Genomic DNA, 24,208 nt, shown 5'->3' with positions numbered 1-24,208 from the left:
ACAGCTTGACTAGTAATTACCACAGCCCTGTCATCTTTGAAAATTTCCTTTATATCTTAATCCATTGGTTTGCAAGAGTGGTACCATCACACATTTGTGCTGGTAACAGCTTGAAGCTAGCACATGATTGATTAAAAAACAAGCAAACAAAAGGAGTACTTAGTATGTAGTGAGTACGCAATAAATACATGAGGAATGAATGACGGTCACGCTCCCCACCATGTGTTGGAGCAGAAAAAATAGACTGAGAACCACTCCCTTCCCCAGACGTTGCAATCAAACAAATCTTCAAAACTGTCTGTCATCTACTGTGCACCGATTATGAATCCAGCACATGGCTACAGCTAATGTACATAAGAAAAAACTTAAGCTGCACACCTCAAGGAGCTAACCATTGAAGGAGGAAGAGATGAGTAAGAGATGCAAAATGAAAGTGAAAGAAGAACTGGATGAAGCGAGAGATTAGCAAGTGCTGTGCTGATGGTGGGGTTGGGGAGGAAGGCTTGCCTGGCTAAGTGAGACTACCGCTGAGCCTCAAAGGCCAGGAAGCAACAGATGTTACAAAATGAGAGTGGAGGAAGCATATTCCAGGTGGGAGAACAGTTTGGGACAGGGGTTGGCAAACTATGGCCTGTCTCCTGTTTTTGTAAATAAAGTTTTTTTTTTTTTTTTTGAGGTGGAGTCTTGCTCGGTCACCAGTCTGGAGTGTAGTGGCGTGATCTCGGCTCACTGCAACCTCCATCTCCCAGGTTCAAGCAATTCTCCTGCCTCAGCCTCCTGAGTAGCTGGGACTACAGGTGCATGCTGCCACCATGCCCAGCTCATTTTTGTATTTTTAGTAGAGATGGGGTTTCACCATTTTGGCCAGGATGGTCTTGATCTCCTGACCTTGTGATCCACATGCCTCGGCCTCCCAAAGTGCTGGGATTACAGGTGTGAGCCACCGCGCCCGGACGTAAAGAAAGTTTTATTGAGACACAGCCATGCCCATGAATGCTTTCATGCTTCAACAGCAGAATTAAGTAGTTGCCACAAAGACCTGGCCTGCACAGCCTAAAATATGTCTTGGCCAAGAAGTCTGAATCAACCATGGTCTCCTCCAAAGACGAGGTGAGAAGTGCAACAGAAGTGGGATGAGGGGCAAGGCAAAGGCGAGATGGGTAAGGCACTGAGGGTGGTGGCTGTGGCAAGGAGGCAGACACCCTGGGACTTGGAAGCCAGGATTAAAGTTCTCGTTTTCTGGGAAGCAAAACAGCTTTGCCCAATTTGCTGGGGAGGCAGAGGTTCTGGGGATCTGGATTTCGTCCTCAAGGCCTATTGCAGTGCCTGGCACACATGGGTGCCTAATAAAAATGTTGAACGATTGGAATGACAAAGGCGGTCGGGACACAGTCTCTGACTTGGAACAGTGTAATTCCTGTGTCTCAGTTTTTTCATCTGTCACATGGGATTGGTACTTAGTTCACATGACTGTGAGGATTAAATAAGTTTAATAAGAGGCACTTAGAATGGTGCCTGGGTCAAAGTGAGAGCTCAGTAAAGATTAGCCATTAGTCTTATTACTACAATCTAGATGAGCCCAGACAAGAGTAGCAGAGTCTTGAGGGCTATGAAAGGTAAGAAAAGAGTGGAATCATTTCTATCAAGAGGATCCAGAAAGCCTTCAGAGTAGAGGTGAGGTCTGCAGTGTGTTGAGAAGAATCCTGATGGCCTTACTAGGAGAACCTATGCTGTGATTGACTGGTGATGTCTGCTGTGGGTGAGGAATGCACAGTGGTGGTGTGTGTGCCTCTGTAGCCTATATTCTGTTTGTTTTAGGATCCAGACATGTCACGGCACATTTGGAATTTTGGCAACACAGGCTTGATAGTGATTTTTTAAATTCCAAGGCCCAAGGGGTTTTGGGGGAAGTAACTCATCCTTAGGAAGGCACATACCCTGACTTAAGAAGACCATGTTAGTCATCAGACAGAAATGCAGTTCTGACTGCGGCCTTATGCCTGATCTTCATCAGGTCATCCTTTGGCCTAGGTTTCAAAGATCTATGTCTGATTTCAAGAGGATGGGACAAGTATAATTGGACAGGGTTGTCTCAATAAAAATCACTGTGTGAGGCAGCACTGCTAGGGCTCCATGGTAGAAAGTAACATGGGGTGGGGAGAGATGAGGGTTTGGGGAGAGGGATTCTCATGGTTGCAGAATCCACTGTGGGCTTGGGTGTGGTGGGGATGGAGGACATTGTGGTGGGTCAGGGGTTCTGGCAGATCATAATGTAGATGCTGTGTGGTCTCATGGGGACAGGGCCAGGACTCCCAACTCTGGCAGGGGCAGGAAATGGTTTCTCGGTGCCTTTTTAGAGTGAAGAACACCTGCAATGCTCCCTGAGGACTCCCAGAAATAGTTAGGGGGCTGACTGTGATCCGCTTGGAGGCCACGCCACAGTAGGTGGAGACAAAACCTCCTGCACAGTGACCCAACTTGGAGCCCAAGGCTGGGAGCCCTGAGAAACGCAGGTCATAATTATAACACTGCGTGGGATGAATGCGCTGGATGACAGGGAGGACGTCACTGGCTGCCTGGTGGGGGGGACTGGGGACAGAGGTGCTGGAGGGTTTCACAGAGATAAGAGTTGAGCCAGGCACAGTTGTGAATGTGGGTCTTGAAAATCAGGAGAAATGCATGAGCAAAAGAACAGAGGCATGAAAAGGAAGGCTGGGTCAGGGAAGGGTGTGGATTTGGGGTGGATGGAGGTCAGGAGACAGTGGCAGGAGACGAAGCCAGAAGGGGTGGGGAGTGTGGAGACAGATCTGGAAGGGATGTGGATGTTAGGAGCAGACACAAAGTCCTGGCTCTGGAAGAAAAGGTTAAACGATAGGATGGATGGAAGGAAGGAATTAGGATTTAGGAGAGAAGAGACGCTCCTTTTTCTTTCACTGAGAACAATATGGGAAGGAAACTACTTGGGCTTTTAAAGAAAAGGAAACCTGAAGAGCAAGACGGTGAGCAAGTACAGCAAAGAACTGAGGGTGTGTGTGTACACATACACATAAAGCAAAAGTGCAAGAGATGTGTTACGTTCTCAGTCTCGAGCCTCAAAAAAGTACCTCTAGGTAGAAAAAAAGAAAAAGAAAAAGAAAAAGAAAGGCACCGAAGCCCCTCTCCACTGGATTGAAGTGAAAGGCACAAAGCAAAGGGGATGATCAGAGCGTTCCCAGGATGCAATGCAACTTCCTCCAGGCGCCAAGGGGAAGGGCCCCTCTTAACCTGGTCCTCTGTGCTCCCTTCTCAGCCTCGATGGCTCAAAAGGATGCGGCTGGAAGATGTGCAGGCCGGGTCACCCTGCCCAGCAGGGATGCAGCCAGGAATGAGCCTCCTCTTCTTGTTCTCGCCTCGTTGCCAGTCTTTGGAGCCTTGCTGGGAAGGAGGAAATCCGGGCCAAAGCTGAGATGAAAGCGTCTGTAATCTCATAAAAGAGCCAGGCGGATGCTCTGAAAGGCACGGAGGAGCCAACACCTGCCATTTGCACTTCAAGGCAGGCCGTTGAAACCCACTGAGGCAAGAGGCCCATCTGCCCTTCCCCCAGGTGCCTGGACTTGGGTGAGAGATGGCCCGGGAACTAGAGTCTGCTGGCTCTGTGTTCCTTGGGCTGCAGGAAGGGGGAGGAAGACAGCCACCAAAGCCCTGGGCCTGGAATGCGCCTTTAGGAAGAGCTGGAGAGCTAAAGCACCATCACCCTCTTTCCTTGCCTGCAAAACATTATTTATCACTTTCTTTGGTCTTCAGACCACTGTGCGGTGGGGAAGAGTTCCCAGCACCACAAACAAATCCTTTCCCATTGCCATCACAAAATAAGACTCCACCAGAAATGAGCAAAGAACAAGTCTGTTGCAAATGAGACACGCAACATGGAGCCTTTTCTGCTTTTTCTTGCTCTCCTGAGAAATTTCACAATGCTGCTAGAACCCAAAGCCTGGATGTGGTCCTATTAATCACCCATAACTGAAGGAGGAAATGTTTTCTTGCAGCGTGAAGCCAAGGAATCAAAAGCAGAAAGAGATGAACGATTTTCCACATGAAATCCCCAAAGGATCAGGACAGGACCTCTAACAAATTTCTTACTATTTATTTACTATTTCCCATAAATGATCTAGAAGAGGTACTCAGAGAGATCTCCCAGTTTAAAGGGAACACACTGTCCATTGGGGTTGTGAGACACCAAGATGGTGGGAGAGTCCACAGGCAGCAGAGTTAAGTGGGAGGGAGCAGCTGCAGGATGGGATAAAGGGACATCCACTCTTATAGCATGACAGGGCCATGTTCATAAGATCTCAGGCCCTTCTATCCATTCTAACTCTGGGAAGGCATCCACATGGTAAAGGCCTTTGAAGGGGCATCAGGAGCCTCAGATACTCCTTCTAGTGTTGTCACTCACAGCTGTATGGCCCCTTCCTGCTCTGGGTCTTCACTGCATTACCTGTAAAGCTCAGGGATTGGATGGGATGATCTCTCAGGTCCCTCAGCTCCAGCCCCCTAGAACTCCAAGATGATAACAGCTATCCCAAGAAAGGAGAGTGCACCATTGCTGCTGAAAGTCACCAGGAGGGGTGGAGGGCCACAGCATGCCTTGTAATGGCTGTAGGAACTAGACGTAACAGATGCAGCCTAGACTGAGGTTTGGTGATGGCAAAGAAGGAAGGCAAGATGCTCCCATTTGGGAATAACATTAAAATATTGAATGCAGCAGGAACAATCTTAAAGAGTGAGACATGCCACCCCAAGCAGTTTAAACCTCTAGGAACGACTCAATTACAGATACAGACCCTGAACATCAGAAAAGTCCAAGAAGGAGATGAAAAAGCTCAGATAACAAAGTAATAAAGAGAAAAGCACGTTTCCAGGAACTGATGGAAGTGTCTGAATGAGCGCATGAGATTTATTAGCAAATAGAAGTCCACTGTTGAATAAAGAAAGAAAATTGGTTGCGAGTTTTAATTAGTTTGGGTTTTGATAAGTGGCGAATCTGGGAAGTGGTAAAATGCCAAGTGATGGGCCTGAAGGGGCAGGTCTTGGGAACCAGGGACAGGGCGAGCATTTTGTTCTGGCAGCACCGGGTAATGAGATTGAAACTAGGCCAGGGCTGAAATGGGGCCTGGAGGCGTGGCTGAGAAATAACCGAAAGGGCCCTTGTGCTTTGTCAGTCGAAGGCAAATGCCATCTGCTCTGGCTCCTGCCCACTGTGCCCCTTTCTCCCCCCACTTCACCATTTGTGGTTACGGTGACCTGGGCTTATGGGACTCAAGTGCCTTCAGTGCTTCTCTGTCCCTTCTGGCTTAGTACACATGGCCATCTCCACTCAGGCTGCCTGGCAGAGCATGGGCTGCCAGGATCAGGCAGCAGGATGAGAGCAGCTGCTCCCTAGCATAGCTTGCTGGCTTGCCTGCTTCCTTCTACAGACTTCTCTGAGCACCTCCCCAGTGCCAAGGACTGTGCTAGGTACTTGGAATATGACGACAGGCGATCTTTTCTCTTGGGGTTCCAGGAGGAGGGAGGTAGATAAAAACTCAGACAGAGATGAGACAATGGCTTAAGTTCTGTGAACAAAGGGAGTGGAAAATTACTAGAGAAGAGAGCATATAGAGTCTATGGGGGTGGAGATCAGAAAAGGCTTGCCCCAGGAGCTAGCTGCTCTCATGAAGGCCATTGTTATAGGATGGATTCACCCATGACTTGGTGGCTTGGGCTATGGGTACACATCCCCCTCTCTATCAACAATTGATGGTGTCATAACCCTTCCTTTGTCATAAGAGAGGACCAAGTAAGGGGGTCACTGGCTCAGGAAAGAGCCATAAGTAACGTGAAACATGTGCTCTGTGGTCAAGGAGGGTGTCATATTTAAACTCCATTGCTGATGGTGCCCAAACTTCTAAATGAGCCCCTGAATCCCCTGAGTTTAGGGTTGCTCAAGACAGAAGGCCTCAGCCTTTGTTCTTTGCCTGTCCCTGTCATGAGGAGCAACACAAATGCTGGAGAACTTCCCTACTGCCCCATTCCACAGGCCTCAGAGGGAGAGTCCCACCTGCCAATAAGTTTACCAGGCTCGACTAAGGCCATGGCATGTGATCATGGCTTCTTTCCTTCCAAACATGGCTAGGTTCAAGGTTGGCAGGCTCCTTGGAAGAAATTATTTTTAGGGGCATGGAAGCTGCTGAGGAGTAGAGTGGTTAGGCTTTGGAGTAGGGTAAAATTGAGTTGAAATCTGGGTTCCTACCATGCGAAAACCTGTACATAAGTGTTCATAGCAGCACTATTTATGATAGTCGAAAAGTGGAAATGTTCATTAACAGATGCATGGCTAAACTAAATGTGGTCTTACCCATACAATGGAATCTTCTTTGGCATCAAAAAAGAATGAAGTATTGATGATACATGCTTACAACATGTATAAACCTTAAAACCACTACGCTAAGTGAAATAAGCCAGTCATGAAAGACCACTTATTCTATGATTCCCTTCATATGAAGTCTATAGAGGCAGAAATAGATGAGTGGTCGCCTAGAGCTGACTGGAGGCAGGGCAGTTTGGAGGGAACAAACTAGTAACTGCCAATGGGTATAGGGTTTCTTTTTGGGGTGATAAGAATGTTCTAAAATTATGGTGATGGTCGCATGACTCTGAATATATTAAAAACCACTGAACGGTAAACCTTCAATGGATGAATTATATGGTATGTGAATTATGCCCCAATAAAGCTGTTTTTCTTTTTCTTAAATCTAAATTCCTACCTCTTCTTGGTTGCTCCTAGGGTTACCACAGCAAAGAACCCTTTGCTTTGCCCCTCAGTGTATTCTGAGTACCTGGGACATAGTAGGTGCTTAAGTATTTGCTAACAAATCAGTATGTGGCCTTGAGAAAGCCACTTAGGTTCTTTAAGCCTCAGTTTTAGCATCTGTAAAATGGAGATTAAAATGCCTTCTGCAAAGGGCTGCTGATTAGGAGACCAGGCATTTAAGGTGCTCGGCAGGGTCTCAGAATATAAGTGCTGTCTAAAGGGCAGTTTTCTGGATGTGTGGCTCAGTGCCATAGACGAGGCTTCTGAAGGAGGATCTGTGCTACTAGGGGTTCTGTTCCTTAGTCACCCACCTCCCACCTCCCACCTCCTATTACATGTCCATCTTGGAGGGAATGGCCAAGGCGTCACATAGAGCAGCCTACATGATGCCATTGGTGGGGCTGTGAGGAGCTGCTTTGAAAGGCCATGCTCGTGCTGCCCAGAGCACCCAGTGCCCAGGCCAGCCTGTGGCTGGTGGACATGACAGATGGTATTTTCTTTTTGTCTGGAGAGGCATTGAAAAGGCTCTCCCAGGCCGTTTCTGCCACTGCCCTTCAGGGTTGACTCTCTCTCTGAGTCTGTGCTATGTGTTAGCAGCAACACACTGGAAAAGCATGACATTGGCAAAACATCCAGTGGGGTAAGGGTCAAGGTTATGACCACTGGAAGCCCCGCCACCATCTTCATGAACCCAGTTTGCAAAAATGTGGGGAAAGTCTTTCAGGCCACCAGAAACTTAGAACCCTGAGTGCCTGTCTCTTTCTCCTTTTCTTATCTGGGCCCCCAGAGCCTTAGCCAGGGATTCCAGGGGGCAGCTGCTCAAGCGCGTGTGTCCCCTCCAGGCCTCAGAGCCTTAGGGGAGCCATTCCCCGCCTCTAAAAGGTGGCTCACTCCCACCCTCCAGCCCACCCCAAAGCTTACCTGCAACCCCTCTCATCTCTCAGGAGTCAGCTGAAATGTACCATCTTCATGGAAGCCTGCTCTGATCATTCCAGATGAGGGTAAGTCCCACCACATAGGCTCGTAGCTCTGTGTGTTTTTCCTGCCATGGTCTATTTATGATTATTTGCTTAGGCCTGTCTCCCCCACTATCCTGTGAGTGCTATGAGGATGAAACCTCGGTCCTTCTTGTACACTGCTGTGTCCCCAGGGCTCAGCACATAGCTTGGCACAGAGGAGACCCTCAATAAACATTTGTTTAGGAAAATAGTCCCACTAATATTTCTTTGTCTCTTCCCTTTATGCTTCCACTCTGGCTGGTGGCAGCTCTTCCCTTCCCATGAAACCAGGGTCTCTGTGCCTCTCTTTGTAGAGCAGTCTCCCCTCCTGCCCCGGCCCCAGGTGGAAAGTAGAGGGGAGGAGAGAAGGGGAAGCAGGGGGCAGGCACACTTGATGATGGGGGAAGAGGGTGTGAAGGCCTCTGCAGGACAGGGAGGGGCTGAGAAGACAGGAGGCTGCCTGCTGGCCCCACGCAACTCCACCCACTTCACTTTCACTCCCACCCCCACCCTCATCTTGGCAAAGCCCCCTTCCACCCCCGGGAACCACCAGGGAAGACGAACAGCTATAAAGTGGCAGAGATCCTACCAGTGGCCCAACAGGACTACGGGGCTGCCCTGCTGGTTTTCAGAGGTTTCTGAGACCCACAGTGAGAAGTATGTTTTATGAGGCCATCCTGCGTGTGTGTAGACCGATGTACAAACCCCCAAGTGGACAAAGTCATACTTGCTTTCACTATGCAGGGTGTATTACAACACCTCCTATTGTTTTCTATTCCAGTTTGAAACCACTTCTTGTCATGACTTATAACAGGAACATGTAGCCGATACAGTGGGCAGGAGTGATGTTCTGGAAGGGGCCCCATGCCTGGGGTTTAATGCTTTGTGGTCACCATCTTGAAATTCTTAATCGTTTTTTGTTTGAATTTGTGCTTCGTAAGTGAGGTCTTGACGGGATGCATGGCCCCACTTCCTGGGTTCTGGGCCACTGATCCCATTCCCTTGCCCCTGGTTAGTGTCAGTGGCTGTATTCCTCACCCCCCACCCCCCACCCCCCAGCAGGGGCCTGCACACTGGCTGGGGAAGGGTCTCGATTGGGCAAGCCTCCAGGGTGAGGGTTGGTCCGTACTGCCCCACCAGTAACCCCGTGCCTGAGGGAGTATGACATTAAAGTACGCATAAAAAATGCCACAACAAGCTGAGAGACTGCCAAAGAAAGGAAGAAGCCTTTTGCCTGCCTTTTGAACAGGGGTCCTGCATCTTCATTTTGCACTGAGCCCCACACATCATGCAGCCAGCCCTGCCTGCTAAACCGATTTCACAACTCACGGATACATCATGACTGGCAGTTTGAGAAACACTGCATTAGCCAGCAGGATGTTGCAGCTGACAAAAATGCAAACCTCCATCAGGTGAACTTAAGCTTCCATCACAATTCTACAATGAATTGGCTGTGTTTTGGGGCATGTCACTGAACTCTCAAGTCCTGTGTCCTCATCTGCAAAACCAAGATAATGCCGAGACCTACTTTTAGAGTCATAGTGGGGACTGAATAAGGTAATGCGATGTGCCCGGGGCAGTGCCCTGAATCTAAGAAAGTCATTATGATTATTACTAGGTCCCTCTAGTCTTTTGTCCAGCTCTGATTTTTTTTTTTTCCCTACTTTGATTTCTCGGAGGAAGAGATTCCTGAGCTGGGCTCTGAGAAGCAAGCAGAGGTTTACTGGGTGGACAAGAGAGGGAAGGAGGATGTCTGAGTAGACAGAACAGCAGAGGCTCAGGGGCATGGTGTGTTTAAGGGAAGTGAGAGCAAATCTTTTCTGAGAGGCTGCCCTTCCAGTGAGAGGTAAGCTGGTGGGAGGGGCAACTGGGCAACCTGGGCTCCTGGGGCAGCCAATGAAGGCAGGGTTTTAGGCGGGCAAGAAGCATGGGGAGACCCCTGCCTTCCAGGATTGCCCTGGCTGCAGGCTGCAAGATGGATGGGAGGGAGTGAAGCCCAAGACTTCCGGAAGAGGCCAGGTGTGAGATGCAGCCCACAGGACAGCAGCAGTGGGGATGGAGTGCAGAAGATCAGGATCACTCCGGAGGCTGGAGTGAATGTGGAAGCCAGTGTGAATACCACGCCCTGGCACCTCCCAGGTTTCTGCTTGAGTGAGAGAGAATCAGGAGGAACAGGTTGTGGGGGGGAGAGGAGGAGGAGGGGATTATCTGTCCAGCCCCAAGGCGAGTGAATAAGAGTGTTGGGTGTTTTGTCTATTTTTAGGAACCTCCAGGGATGCAAACTCTAAAAATTAAAGAGCAACGAGTATTCACAAAGTTGTCCCCTAACGCCTGCCCCACTTTTTTTTTTTTTTCTTTTTGAGACAGATTCTTGCTCTGTCACCCAGGCTGGAGTGCAGTGGCACGATCTTTATTCACTGCAACCTCCACCTCCTGGGTTCAAGCCATTCTCCTGCCTCAGCCTCCTTAGTAGCTGGGACTACAGGCATGCACCACCATGCCTGGCTAATTTTTTGTATTTTTAGTAGAGACGGGGGTTTCACCCTGTGGGCCAAGCTGGTCTTGAACTCCTGACCTCAAGTGATCCACCCACCTCGATCTCCCAAACTGCTGGGATTACAGGCATGAGCCAACGCGCCTGGCCCACTTTTTAAAACCAAAGCTAACTCTTCTTAGCTACTACACCCAAATCAGATGATCTTTATTTAAGCCACCATGTGTTTGAGTTCTAACCTCCATTGTCTCAGTGCCTCACCACAGATTTCTGGAACCTGGTAGAAGTTCTAAATTATAGAACAAGTTAGAACTAACTGGTGGTGATGGAAGGGAGGAAATCACAAGGGAAACTTGAAAAGGTAATGTATCCACCAGCCCCTGGGGCAGGGCAAGTTTCCAGCTGCCCATGGAGCTCAGGTAGCCTGGGAAGTGTGCTCAGAGCCGAAGCCAACATCTACTTTTGAAAAAGAACCACCTTCTTTTTTGGAAGGTGCAAGCAAGTCTTCCCTTTGCCTTCTCACTTCATCATTCTTACCCTAGCCACAGTCGTTCACTGGCAAGTGTTTTTTCAGTACGCTGAAAAATTAATTGTGGAGCCTGTCTCTGATGCCTGGATGCTGAGTGGGCATGAGAAAGATATTTGTTACAGTTTCAGGTCAAACTAAAGGGGAGACAGTGATAACAAGGGTTTTCTATGCTATGGAAACAAGGACCACTATAGGCTCGGATGAGGTTAAGCAACTTGATGATCAACCACCACCGTGGTCCATGTAAAACAAGGACTTTAGGCCAGGCACAGTGGCTCATGCCTGTAATCCCAGCATTTTGGGAGGCCGAGGTGGGTGGAACATCTGAGGTCAGGAGTTCCAGACCAGCCTGGCCAACATGGTGAAACCCCGTCTCTACTAAAAATAAAAAATAAAAAACAAATTGGCCAGGCATGGTGGCACACGCCTGTAATCCCAGCTACTTGTAAGGCTGAGGCAGGAGAATCTCTTGAACTCGGGAGGCGGAGGTTGCAGTGAGCTGAGATCACACATTGCACTCCAGTTTGGGCAACAAGAACGAAACTCCATTTCAAAACAAACAAACAAACAAACCAAGGACTTTACAGTTGACACAATGCTCCAACTCTCACCCTTCCATTTGTGCTCACAACAGCCTTGTGAGATTTTGGGTTGGGCGGGGCGAGGATTGTCATTCCAATTTCATCCACGGAGAACACACAGCCCTGTGAACTGACTTAGAGGCACAGGGCAAGGATGTACGCAGGTCTTCTGTCTTTTGCTGGTTACCCTCTCATTATATTATGTTATCCAAGGCAAACCTCTAAACTGTCTGGAGATCACATATTTGGAAAATGCAGCAATAGGCATTGGAATCAGTTCAGTTCAGATTAACAAAAAAACCCCTACTGTAGTGCCTAACATGAACCTGGTGCTGGGCTGGGAGTGGCCTAAAGACACTAATATCACTACCACTTCTGAGAGATCCAGGTACTTGGTGCATCTTTGATCTCATTTAATCCTCACAATGCTCTGATGAGGCAGTGTCATTAGCCATTTTATAGATGGGAAAACATCCTCTGACCTAACTCAGGAGCTCTGGACATTCAAACAGAGGCTAGGGCAGCACTGACTTCATGCTGATTGGGCACTTTGGAAGCAGCTTTACCAGTTTCATTTGTCCAATACCTCTGGGAGGTTTCTCATTTTGAATGTGAAGGGAAAATATTTTGGGCCCCCCAAATCACTAAGGAAAACTCAAGCTGGAAACTGCTTAGGGCAAACCTGCCTCCCATTCTATTCAAAGTCACCCCTCCGCTCACTGAGATAGATGCATATCTGATTGCCTCCTTTGGAAAGGCTAATCAGAGACTCAAAAGGATGTAACCATTTGTGTCTCACCTATCTGTGGCCTGGATGCTCCCTCCCGCTTGGAGTCTTCCTGCCCTTGCTTCAAGATGTCCCGCCTTTCTAGACCGAACCAATGTACTTCTTACATATGCTGATTGATGTCTCATGTCTCCCTAAAATGTATAAAATCAAGCTGTGCCCCAACCACCTTAGGCACATGTCATCAGGACTTCCTGAGGCTGTCAAAAGGTTGAGGAAAGTTTTGCCTCAACCTTGGCAAAATTAACTTTCTAAATTAACAGAACTCAGATTTTCTAGGTTCACATGAGGAAACTAAGGCTCAGGTGGGTTTATGCAACTTGATGATTGACCACTGCGATCGAATAGGCCTTTCTGCTCTGTCACCTTTAAGTCGAAACCACTTAAATTTTTTAATTTCACAAGCTGCATATGACTTTTATGAAAATTATAGCCGAGTATGGCGGCTCATGCCTGTAATCCCAGCACTTTGGGAGGCTGAGGTGGGCAGATCACTTGAGGTGAGGAGTTCAAGACCAGCCTGGCCAACATGGTGAAACCCTGTCTCTACTAAAAATACAAAAATTACCCGGGCGTGGTGGTGTGCGCCTGTAATCCCAGCTACTCAGGAGGCTGAGGCAGTAGAATCACTTAAACCCTGGAGGAGGAAGTTGCAGTGAGCTGAGATAGCCCTACTGTACTCCAGCCTGGGTGACAGAGCAAGACTCTGTCTCAAAAAAAAAAAAAAAAAAAAAAGGAAATTATGTGATACAGAAGTGTTTAAAGTAAAAGTATCTCCCATCTCTGCTTCTCTATTTCCAATCCCCAGAAGTAACTGCTTTTAACAGTTTAATGTATAAGCTTTTCCCATGCATAAACACACCTACATATGCAGTTTATTTTTCACAAAGGGATGGCACTAGATGCATTATTCATGACTTGCTTTATTCACTCAACCATGTGTCGCAGCTACGATTCCCCATCAACACATACAGAGTTGCTTATCCTCTTGAACAGATTTCATTGTCTCAATGTAGCATAAGCCATTCCCCTACTGATGGACTCACAGGTTATCTCCGATTTCTCATAGATTCGTACCAAATGTCATTTTAAATGTAATAGATCCTTGAGATGTAAACTCTCATAAACATCAGCTATTACTTTTAGCCTTATTTTATAGTTTTGTTTAATTGACAGCCTCAATTCAATTTCTATAGCAAATATTCATTTCAAAAAAATAGCTATTAGAGTTAAGTATGTCTCAATCTTTGACCATTATGAAAACAAATTATTTTCCATAGTTTGGGGTTTATAATAATTGCTTAATCCAATATTGAAATTGGGTTTAGATAGGTACTTTTGAACTGATTGATATTACTTTTCCACATTTTCTAACTCATTCCCTAATTGAGGCTCTGTTCTTGCAGGAAACTACATGGCATAAAGTAAATAAAACTATCTAAGAGAAGCTGTGCAAATGTAGCTTGATATAAAAAAGGGAGGAAGCTGGGTGGCCTAGCATTTCTGTTCTAGCTCAAATGATTTTATTCTATTAGGTTAGTGCAAAAGCAATCGCAGTTTTTGCCTTACTTTCAATGGCAAAAATACAATCATGTTTGCGCCAACCCAATACTAATTCAAAGGACAAGAATTCTAGTGTATCATCTACATATTGTATTCTCTCATTACATCCCTAAGCCACTTTTCTGTCATGGGCATGACCAAGTCATTCCTCTCTTCCTTCTCATAGGCTTCTTGAGACTCAGACTGTTTTCCTTTTTCAAAATTCTCATCCTCTGCTTTTGTTTTGGCAACAGAATAGGAAACAGCCTCATATTCTTCTTTCCTTCCTGATGTTCTAAGAATCCTTCTATCATTTCCTTTCTGTTTAGAGAATTTTCTTAGCCATTGTTTTATAGCAGAGCTGTTGGCTAAAAATCCTCTTAGCTTTGCTTCATCTGATAATGTCTTGACTACCCCTTCATTCCTGAAATATAGTTTTTGATGGATATAGGATTCTGGGTTGACAGTTTTTAAAAAAAATGTTGTGCCATTTCCTTCTGGCCTTCATGGTTTCTGATTAGAAATCTGGTGCTGTGCATACTGCATTTCTCATTAGTGGCTGTTTCTGTCTCAGTGATTTTAAAGGCTGTCTTTGGTTTTCAAACATTTGAGTATGATGTGTCTTATTGTAAATTTATTTGGATTCATCCTGTATGGGGTTCACCCAGCTTCTTGAATCTGTAGGTTTATGGCAAATTTGGAAAGTTTTAAGCCATTATTTCTTCGAGTGGTTCTTGTTTTTCCAGTCTATTTTCTCTCTGTTGTTCAGACTGGGTTATTTCTAATATTCTATCTTGAAGTTCACTGATTCTTTCCTCTGGCCCACTGGCTCTGATGTTGAGGTCATCCAGTGAGTTTTTAATTTCAGTTACTGTATTTTTCAATTCTAAAATTTCCATATGGTTATGTCGTTTATTTGCTGAGAATTTCTATTTTTTATTGTTTGAAGCATGTTTATATTTGCTTATTGAAACATTTTTATGATGGCTGCTTTATAATCTGTAAAATTTTAACTTCTGTAGCATCTCAGTTTTATCATCTATTGTCTTTAATCGTTCATTTTGAGATCTTCCTTGTTCTTGGTATGAGTGATTTTGAAAACTGAAACCTGGTTATAAGATTTTGGATCTTATCTAAACTTTCTGTTTTAGCTAGCTTTCTCTGACACTGCTCCAACATGGGTAGGGGGTTTATGCCACCTCATTATTACTAAGTAGGGGTCCAGGTTCTCCATTTGGCCTTGACACTTGAGGGGGAGCCTTCTCATTACTGTGCAGTGATGGGAGTTCCAGCTCCTGACAAGGCCTCCATTGATACCTCTCTCTGACTGGGAGGAGTCAGGAGTGTCTTGCTACGGCTCCCACACGATCTTAACTGACACTAAGGGAGTGGATAAGGCCAGGTTACCATTTCGTGGGGTCATGAAAGTCTACTCCCCACTTGGCCTTCTCTGACACCACCCTGCTGTAAAGAAGGGGGAGACTGGGGAGGCTTGCTATAACGTGGTGAGGGTGGAATTCTAGGCTCTGCATTTGGCTTTTGCTGGTGGAGCAGGGGCTGGACCACAGTTTTTTCTGTGACCTTTGGCTACAGCAGAGCAGTTACTGTCTAAAAGTTTTTGGCTTTGCCAGGCTGCCCCTTTCCTGATTCTTTGGCTAGAGACAGCAGACTTTTTTGGGGGGGCTTTTGTTGGGAGGGTTCTGGGCCCCTTAGCATTTGTGGTTGATGGCCTCTTCAGCTCTAAGTCTAGGATATATAAGGCAAAACGAACCAAGCCAAACAAAGAAAAGAAACAAAAACCCAGAGAACTCACCACCACGTCATTCCTGGGGCTATGAGGTCCCTAGTTAGTCTGCCTTCTTCCTTCCACTTTTCAGGGTCTTATGCTTGTTTTATAAATAATGCCCAAGGTTTTTAGTTGTACTCAGTGGGAGAAATAGAGAAAATGTGTTTACTCCATTTTCTTGGAAGTGGTGGTTCATCAATATTAGCAATATTCATTCCCCTCTCTTTCCAGTCCTACTGAAGCCCCATTTCTAACCATTCCCATTTTCTCTCTATCCCTGTATACATCTATCTACCTGCCCCGTGTCAACACCAGTTTCATCTTTCTAGTCTTGGAGGAAAGCCAACATCAGGAGATACCAGAACAACACGCCACTCCCCTTTCAAAGTCTTTTATGAATCTACACTGTCTGTAGACCAAAGCCCAAACTTGTTAGCCTAGCAATGGACACTTCAGAGTTCTAGCCTCTGTGTTCTTTTCACCCAGAGGTCCCTTTCATTTGTAGGCAGATGCTTATTTTCTGCCTGACATGTCTGCTCCCCGCTCACTCCATCCCTGCACACAAGACCCATTTCTCAATGCCCACGTTCTCCAATAATACCTTCCAGCTGAAATGGACACCCAGTTCAGGATTTGGTCCTTTTACTGGTAATTACTGAAGGTCAGTTAGATTTATTTTAAACTCATTAAAGGACTGGGTCATGCTTGATACTTCTTTGTCTCACAGCATACAGGAGCACCTGATAAATACTCTTTTGGAAAGAATAACTAAAGGCCCCTGCCTGTCAGTGTGAATCTCTTGGCAGAACTCTGAGAATTAAACAGAAATCCAGTGCCAAGAAGATAAGATTAGCTATGGGCAAAGTTATCTTAAACACCAGTAAGAAAGAAGCAGGAGAGTAGGCAGAATTTGGAGAATCTAATCAAAGTTATAAATATATCTAAAAAAGGAATAAGTTTAGAAGAGGACTAGGAGAAGCAGTCACCCAGCTAGGAGGAGTGTCCTGACTTGGGGAAAGGCCCATGGGTCCTAGAGATGGAAAGAGCCCCACTCTGGTAATGGATGCCCAGTTTGAGGCCCTGTGCACATGAGTCTCACCAGCTCCCGAGTGGATTCTGTGCTCACCCAGGAGGCCTTGGGAATCCAGCTTCCCATTACCATCTCTGTACAGTTAGGGAACTGACCCAAAGATGCAACTGTTTGGGCTCATGGCAGACTTGTTTTTCATTTCAAATAGACAGGCCTCTGGTATGAGTTTGGTTGGTTGGCATAAAGCTATTTACAATAGCAATAACAATAATTAAACATTATTCAGTACTATGTATCAGACTGGGCTAGGCATTTCCTAGATCATCTCATTTTATCATCCTATGGGGTAAATACTATGATCATCCCATCTCATGGATGAAGGACTTGAAGCTCAAAGAGATTACATTGCTTACCCAAGCTCAGAAGAGGCAGAGCTGGGATTTGAACCCAAGTCTCCTGACTCAAGGTCTGATTTTCAGCACTGGACTTTGTAAGATAGCCCTTTCTATGTGCCAGTCATTGTCCTCAGGTCCTTATGTATATAAATTTGTACAACTCTCCAAGCAACTCCTTGAGGTAGGTACTATTTCCATCCCCAATGTACAGCTGAGGAAACAGGCACAGAGAGGTCATGCAACTTGCTCAAAGTCACACAGCTGTTTTTGAACCCAGGATTTGAACCCAGGCAATGTCACTAAAAACCATTATGTCATGCTGTCTCTTTTGGGGCACTTGCCTGACTTTTTCTAATAGATCTCAGCCTCTTGAGGGAGAAGACTCAATCTTACTCATTTTTGTATCCTCAACAGCTTCTGCAGTACCTAGCACAGAGTAAGGCTGTAATACATGTTGGTTCAGTTGAATGGTCCCCTAGGAGGAGGACCCATTAGCCACCTGATCTGTTCCAGTTACTTTCCGATTCCATGAAGACAAATGTGCAAGCTCATCTAAAGTAGGTTTATGCTAGGCTGCAGGCTACTTATTCTGTTTTACTAACTTCATAAAACATTCTTTTTTTTTTTCACGTAGCATAGGACTGGGGCTTCTGAAAAAAAGGCAGAATACAAATTCAAGGGCTACAGTGCTATGAATAATTTCTACTGGAGCATATTTTTCACATCTGGAGACTTGAGTTTTCAAAGTTAATCCAGCTTAGCCTAGTGGTTCTCAATGTTGGGTGATTTTTTTTCCCCCTTACAAGGGATATTTGGCAATGTCTGGAGATATTTTTGATTGTCACAAGATGGGGGTTGGGATATGAGTGCTACTAGTATCTAGGAGGTGGAGGCCAGGGACACTTCTAAACATTGTACAATGCAAGGATAATCTATCATGACAAAGAACTAACCGGCCCCAAATGTCAGTAATGTTGAGGCTGAGAGATCTGGATTGGCCAAGCAGCCCCCAGATCTGCACGTACAAGTGGTTTTAAAGAGGAAGCATTGCCCAACAATTAAATTAGGTTTTATGAGATTTGATTCCCAGAGAACAAAGATCACCAGGGGAAAAATGAAAGTGAGCATTCCATGCCAAAGAACCATCTTAGTTTGGGAGCACATTCTGAAACAGTGCTTTGAGAAGTAAGGTCTTAGAACCTCCTCCTAGAAACCCAGCTTGGGAGCTTATTAAAATGCAGATTTCTGGGCCTCACCTCAAAACCACTGAAGCAGATTCTCTTGGGGAGAGTAGGAGGGATCTGCATTTTTAGGACACCCCCAGGTGATCCAGATGCACAATGACATTTTCTTCCAGAAGCAGGGGAGGTAGGTTGGGTAGTGGTAGACAGACCATATGCATAGTGGTTTTTAAAAAGTTAACTAAAAATTCTCACATTCTAGCATGATTTCTTCAACTTCCATCATTTATACAGCACCATTATGAGTTGCGCTCTAGACAAATACCACGTGTATTACTCTTTGCTTAATAATTTAAAAAAATCAAATCACTTTGTAAATTCTAACGTATTTCTAAGCAACAATACCCAATAAATCATAGTTGTATTTATTGGGTATCAGCTAATTATATTTTTTCTTCATACTCCTGAGAATATATTACCATGAGAATAAAAAGTATCTGCCCACGCCACACAAAATTGATATGCAACACATGGGAAGCAGGATATTATGGCAAAGCAACTGCAGTGTGCCAGGAGAGTGCTACTAATGGTAAGTGCAAGCTCTGTAAGGCAGACATACATGGCTTTGCATTTGAATCTCACAGCTTCTTGTTCAGGAATGGATGGCAATCCTGCTGCTTCCTGGAGGAGGAATAATATAGTTAGCAAATGCTCACATGCTTGAGCATACTCAGTGGTACTATGTGACCTCATTGACAGCCCCACCAACTCCCATTTATGAACTTTGGAAAACAACCATCTTAAATCTAGCACCAGGACAAAATTAAGGGCCAACGTATATTGAATGTCACTGAGCCTCAGATATCAGAACCCACGTGTGAGGAGCAGAAGTCACTGCAACTAGAAACTGGTTTCCATTTGCCATGGTTTAGATATTTGACCCCTCCAAACCTCATGTTGAAATCTGATCCCTGGGGTTGGAGGAGGGGCCTAGGGGGAGGTGTTTGGGTCATGGGGTCAGATCTTTCATAAATAGATTAATGTCCTCCCTCGTGGGCGAGTCTCACTCTATTAATTCTCAAAAAGCTGGTTGTTAAACAGAACCTGGCATCTCCCTGACTCTCTTGCTTTCTCCCTCACCATGTGATCTCTGCCCACAACATGAGTCTTCCCTTGGCCTTCACCATGAGTGTAAGTAGCCTGAGGTCCACACCAGAAGCAGATGCTGGCACCACGCTTCTTGTACAGCCTGCAGAACTGTGAGCAAATAAACCTCTTTTCTTTATAAATTACCTAACCTCAGATACTCCTTTATAGCAACACAAAATGGACTAAGCCACCATTATCATCCTCCTGTTCCCAGAGTGCCCTATATAGGTTGGGGATGGGGAGTATTAATAGAGGGAGAAGCGTGATAAAATGAAAGCTACAAAAAAATTAATGCCTCTGCTGAAAATCAGGATAAATGTGAGCAGTTCATCTTTCCATTTACATCCTTTCCCAAAACGCCTAAACTCAACATAATGTGAGTTTTAACTGGGCTCTGCACACAGCCCACCTTGCTACAAAGCCAGTGAGGAAAGCAGTAGCATGAGATTATGAGCATGCTTGTATTAGCTAACACCACTTTATTTTTGGCTTTTCCCTCCAATTTGCATTAAACTGCCTGCATAATTTCCACCTCAGGTGAAACCTCTCTGTATTAGTTGTTTCCTACTTGAAATACATTGATTTTCCATGTAAGACAGGAGATCAGCAAGTGAGATGTGAGGTGTGACTGTGGAATTGGGTTAGGAGGAGGGTAAGACACAATACCCTTAGACTCAGGTAAGACAAATGCAGCAAAAAACTCATGACGGCATTTCTCTTTGGGGTAAAGATCTGGGAAAGGGGGTGTATTGAGTGTAGCCATCAATGGATACACCTTTTTCTATTGCCTCAAAGGGCTTGTTATTTAAAATATTTCTCTTTTTGTGCAATTGTAAATCAATCCCGTTTGGCTCCAACTGAAAAGATAGTATGAGGTCTGAGCTTCGACCACTAATATGCATTTATTGAGCACCTACTATGAGCCACGCAGGATCTGTGTTGAGAACAAAGCCCTGCTCTGACTGAGTAGGAGTGGGGAAGAAAGGCAGATAAAATACATGTCTGGGAGAGGAAATGTTCCCAGTGCTGTGAAGAAAAATTAAGTGGGAGAGCTAGAGAGGGTGTAAGAGGATCTTTGTAGGAGTTAGAGGGGGTTGTAGCTCTGAGGAGGGAGATTAGAAAAAAAATAGAAAATGCATTCCAGCCCTCAGGAAACTTGGAATTTCACGAGTACCTGTATGAGGCCTTGGATTTACAGTGTCCAGCTCAGTGCCTTGGGCCAGGAGGGATTTAATACACATTTGCTGCATAGGTGTTCCATGGCTGTTGACTGAATCCCTAACCCTAGACCAGGACTTCTAAAAGTTGTGAGAAGCTCCAGTGAGTGAGTATTGGGCAAGTCTGTGCAAAACCACTGCTACAACCAGAAGAACAAGGCCGGGAGTGGGTTCTGCTGAATAACAGCAGGAGCCCACAGGTGAAGTGGGGAAGGGCAGACTTGGGGGCTGGCCTGCCTGGGCATGCATCCCAGCACGCCACTCTCCAGCAGAGTGACCTCAGCAACTGGCTTAGCATCTCTGCACCTCAGTTTCCCTATCTATTAAATGGTTATGATAATGGAATCTATCTCAGAGGATTATTGTGAAGCTTTAATGAGTTAACACAGGTAAGTGCTTAGAGCAATTCTGGTCACAAAGAGTGCTTAATAAGTATCAGCTGCTAGTGTTTTTCTGTGGCCGAGACATATTAGGATCACTAGCTCCTATTTGGACTTGAAGCAAAATAATCCTAAAATGTGGAGCTTGTGATGGATGAAGGGGAGACGGGAAGACAATTAGAAGTGGGGGAACTAGGCTTAGTTCTGCCTCTGACTTTGGAAATTTAGGCATGCAAACTTCACTCCTTTTTTTCATTTCTTTAAACAGAGTTGAATATGTACCTATTAAGTGGTTGTCAGATCCTTTTCTGAAAATGGATAGTTAATGATACCACCACTATCAGGATGAACAGCAATTTCCCACTGATGAATCGCACCACCACCACCTCTACCACCATCATCACCGTCAACTTTCCCTGAGGCTTTTCTACTCTTTCCTCATCCCCAATTTCTTTCCGGTGATTTAACAAAATGACAAGAGCTTTGGAACAAAGAAGACCCCACTCAATAACTTCATAGCTGTGTGACCCTGGGCAAGTCACTTCACCTCTATGAGGTTAAGTTTCCTCATCTGTTAGATGGGTTTTTTGTAAAAACTACAAGGCACCTAGGCAAGGATTGTCACATGTGTGGAGATCTGAATAAATGGTGGCTTATTTTCACGGTGTGGACAAATCAGTCAGCATACCTTGCTGATTTCCATTTTAATGTCCTGAAGTGTTTCATTCACTCGAATGGAGCGGACCACCATGATTTCTCTTCATGAATTTTGGTTTCCCAGTTGAACAATACTGCTTGAGGCCTCTAAGCCAAAAATGTGGGCTTTCAGCGATCTAGGCCACCACATCTGGCAAGAAGAACAAAGCTGTCCTGACACGCTGGGTGGGGATTTGTCCCTGTGTGACCCTCTTAGCCCCACTTCCAACCATCTGGTTACCCAGAGAGTTGACTGGGCATGAGGCAAGAGGCAAGAGGCTTTGCCATGAACCAGCTTAAGGAAATAGAAACTCTCATTCTTTTTTTTTTTTTGTCAGGAAAACATGAAAAATCACATCATATGTGAGGCAATACTCTGGGATGCTAACCTAGTCTTTAGTGTTCCTGTTTCCTTTGATAATCTACTTCAGTAAATGGAAACTAAATTGCTCCATTAAATTTCTAAACACTACATTAAGAAGATAAACAGACAAAACAAAAACCTCTCAGTCTGCAAGGGATAAATCCAAAACCAAACAGTGGGACACAATGTTCTCCAGAAACAATTAGACTTGACTTTCACACCAAAAAAAATGTAATCATCAGTGATGTCTTAGAATTGCAGGGTTTTGAATGAAACTTAAGAATGAAACTATGGTGCTCAAAAGCACTAACTCATGGTGGTTACTGTTATCCCCCAAAGATCATTTCATTCTGGTAACCCAATGAGGTAGGTACTATTTTTCTTTCCATTTAATAGGTGACAAAACTGAGGCACAGTGAGGTTAGTAACATAACTAGCAAGTGTGAGACACCGGAATTTTAACATGGTTCATAGCTACCATGCTGTTTTGCCTCTCATGATCTGGAAGTGACTCCAGTGCTCAGTGCCAGGGGAAGCCCAGGCTCCTATTTGAGCAGGCTCCCAAGACACCAAGGGTCTATCAAGTTGCCAAGGAAAAACTCATTCAGGCTCAGGACATCAGTTTCTAAAGTGCATTCCCATACCCTAGGTATCTGGAAATCCATCATAACCTTAAGTATTAATAGTATATTTATCCCCATTTCACGGCCACAGGAACTAAGGCTGTTGAAAGTTAAACAACTTTTCTGAGTTTGGACACATCATCTACATTTCTCATCTAATTCCCAGACACTGTTCTTTCCCTGATGACATATATCCAAGTTTAAGCACAACCAAGCAAGGGTTGAGAAAGCTTCAGACATTTACAAAGCTCCCTTCATACCTAGTACTGTGCTTAGACCAGGAACACAGGGAGGTAGAGGGCAGCAGAGCAGGGACTGGCTTCAGAGCCAGACAGGTGGCTATGTGACTTAATGTGTCTGAACCCTGGTATCCTAGTCTATTAAATGGTATAACAGCAGCTTCTAGTATGTAAGTTCCTTGTCAGGAGAAAAACTGTTTTGCTCATGGCTGGAGCCTTAGCATGTTGCATCATATTGAACATGTAATAGATGCTCAATAAATATATTTTTAAGAATAAATAAATGTAAATGAAAATTACTTCACAGTGTTTCTGTAGAGATTTTATAAGATATGGTATACACAATGCATAACATAGAACTGACGCTCAAAAATGCCAGTTACTTCCATCATTGTGTCATAGGCTTTTATGTTCATTATCCTGCTGCATCATCCCAAGAATTCCATGAAATACGTATTGCTTTGCTCATTTTTCTGCAGGAGCAAACTGGAGAAGAGGGCAGGGAGTAAAATAATTCCTAGAGAAGAGCTCATCCCTTTTAAAAACAATATGCCCTTAAGAAAAAAAAAAAAAAGAGTCCTAGTAAGGAACTATAGGAAGGTCTAGAGTCAGCCCAGGGAGAACAGAAGAGCAATGGGACTTGGGACTTTGGATCTAGACTGTTGGTTCCTTTGGCCTCTTTTAGTCCTCCACCTCTGAGGCATTCCAGCTTCAGGCAGGATGGACTCCCCACCTCTGCATTTGCCATCAGCCCCTCCTGTCAGCAGAGAGCTCCTAGCTGAGACAGAGTGCCCAGCTGTGCTATTATCAACAATAATGGTAATCCTAATGAATTGCAGGCTGATGAATCACTGATTGCAAGAAAGAAAAAAAATAAGAGTGAGCTGATTGAAACTCTTAATAAAGCTTATTCTTTGGGAAGGGTCTGGGTTGGCAGGTGGGAGGGCTGGGGGTACTAGAATCTAATGGGAGATTTTTTGCATGGTTCTGATGGTTCAATAGCAGAATATGCCTCTCTTCTATGCTTATCTTGGCGAGAGCTTTTTTTTTTTTTTTCCCCACACCATATCCAAATTGCCTGGGTCTTAGACTGCAGATGTCTAAAGAGCAAGGATGACATCTACCTTGTTGTCCTGCATCTTAACACAGCATCTAGAATATAATGGGTGTGAAAATATCTGGTCCACTTCCATGACACCAGGATGCTAGCTAGGTAGCAGTGAGAAGAACAATGAAACAACAAAAAGAGCAGAAAAAAGTGCCACAGGGTGAGAGCACAGAGACTTGTTTATGAATTCCAATTTTAAAAGGGCTTATAGAAATTCATTGCTAAAACTTCAGCCATGCAAAGCCAATTATGCTGGAAATAATCCTAGTGGTCACACGTT

General features: G+C 45.1%; 1 protein-coding gene and 1 long non-coding RNA gene across 27 annotated transcripts in view, besides 2 other annotated features; one reads left to right on the top strand and one right to left on the bottom strand.

The window, feature by feature from the left end:
- Positions 1 to 24,208, bottom strand: part of ZHX2 (zinc fingers and homeoboxes 2) — a 194,132-nt gene that overhangs the window by 54,891 nt on the left and 115,033 nt on the right. The gene's annotated exons all lie outside the window — the stretch shown is intronic.
- Positions 117 to 516: an enhancer, noted in NCBI's record as "active region_27860". NCBI's record gives its function as "activates an Ori minimal core promoter by ATAC-STARR-seq in GM12878 lymphoblastoid cells {active_cell/tissue: GM12878}" and the evidence as "EXISTENCE:reporter gene assay evidence [ECO:0000049][PMID:35858748]".
- Positions 478 to 23,119, top strand: LOC124902011 (uncharacterized). Its single transcript, XR_007061081.1, has 2 exons — positions 478 to 19,411; positions 21,167 to 23,119. It is a non-coding gene; the product is annotated as an uncharacterized LOC124902011 (long non-coding RNA).
- Positions 3,516 to 4,072: an enhancer, noted in NCBI's record as "OCT4-NANOG-H3K4me1 hESC enhancer chr8:123927788-123928344 (GRCh37/hg19 assembly coordinates)". NCBI's record gives its function as "activates a minimal SCP1, AML or CMV promoter by ChIP-STARR-seq in naive H9 embryonic stem cells {active_cell/tissue: H9 hESC(naive)}" and the evidence as "EXISTENCE:reporter gene assay evidence [ECO:0000049][PMID:30033119]".

The sequence above is a fragment of the Homo sapiens genome, chromosome 8 (genome assembly GCF_000001405.40).
Source record: "Homo sapiens chromosome 8, GRCh38.p14 Primary Assembly".
In the NCBI taxonomy this organism is placed as follows: Eukaryota; Metazoa; Chordata; class Mammalia; order Primates; family Hominidae; genus Homo; species Homo sapiens.
This window is presented reverse-complemented; position numbering and strand designations above follow the sequence as displayed.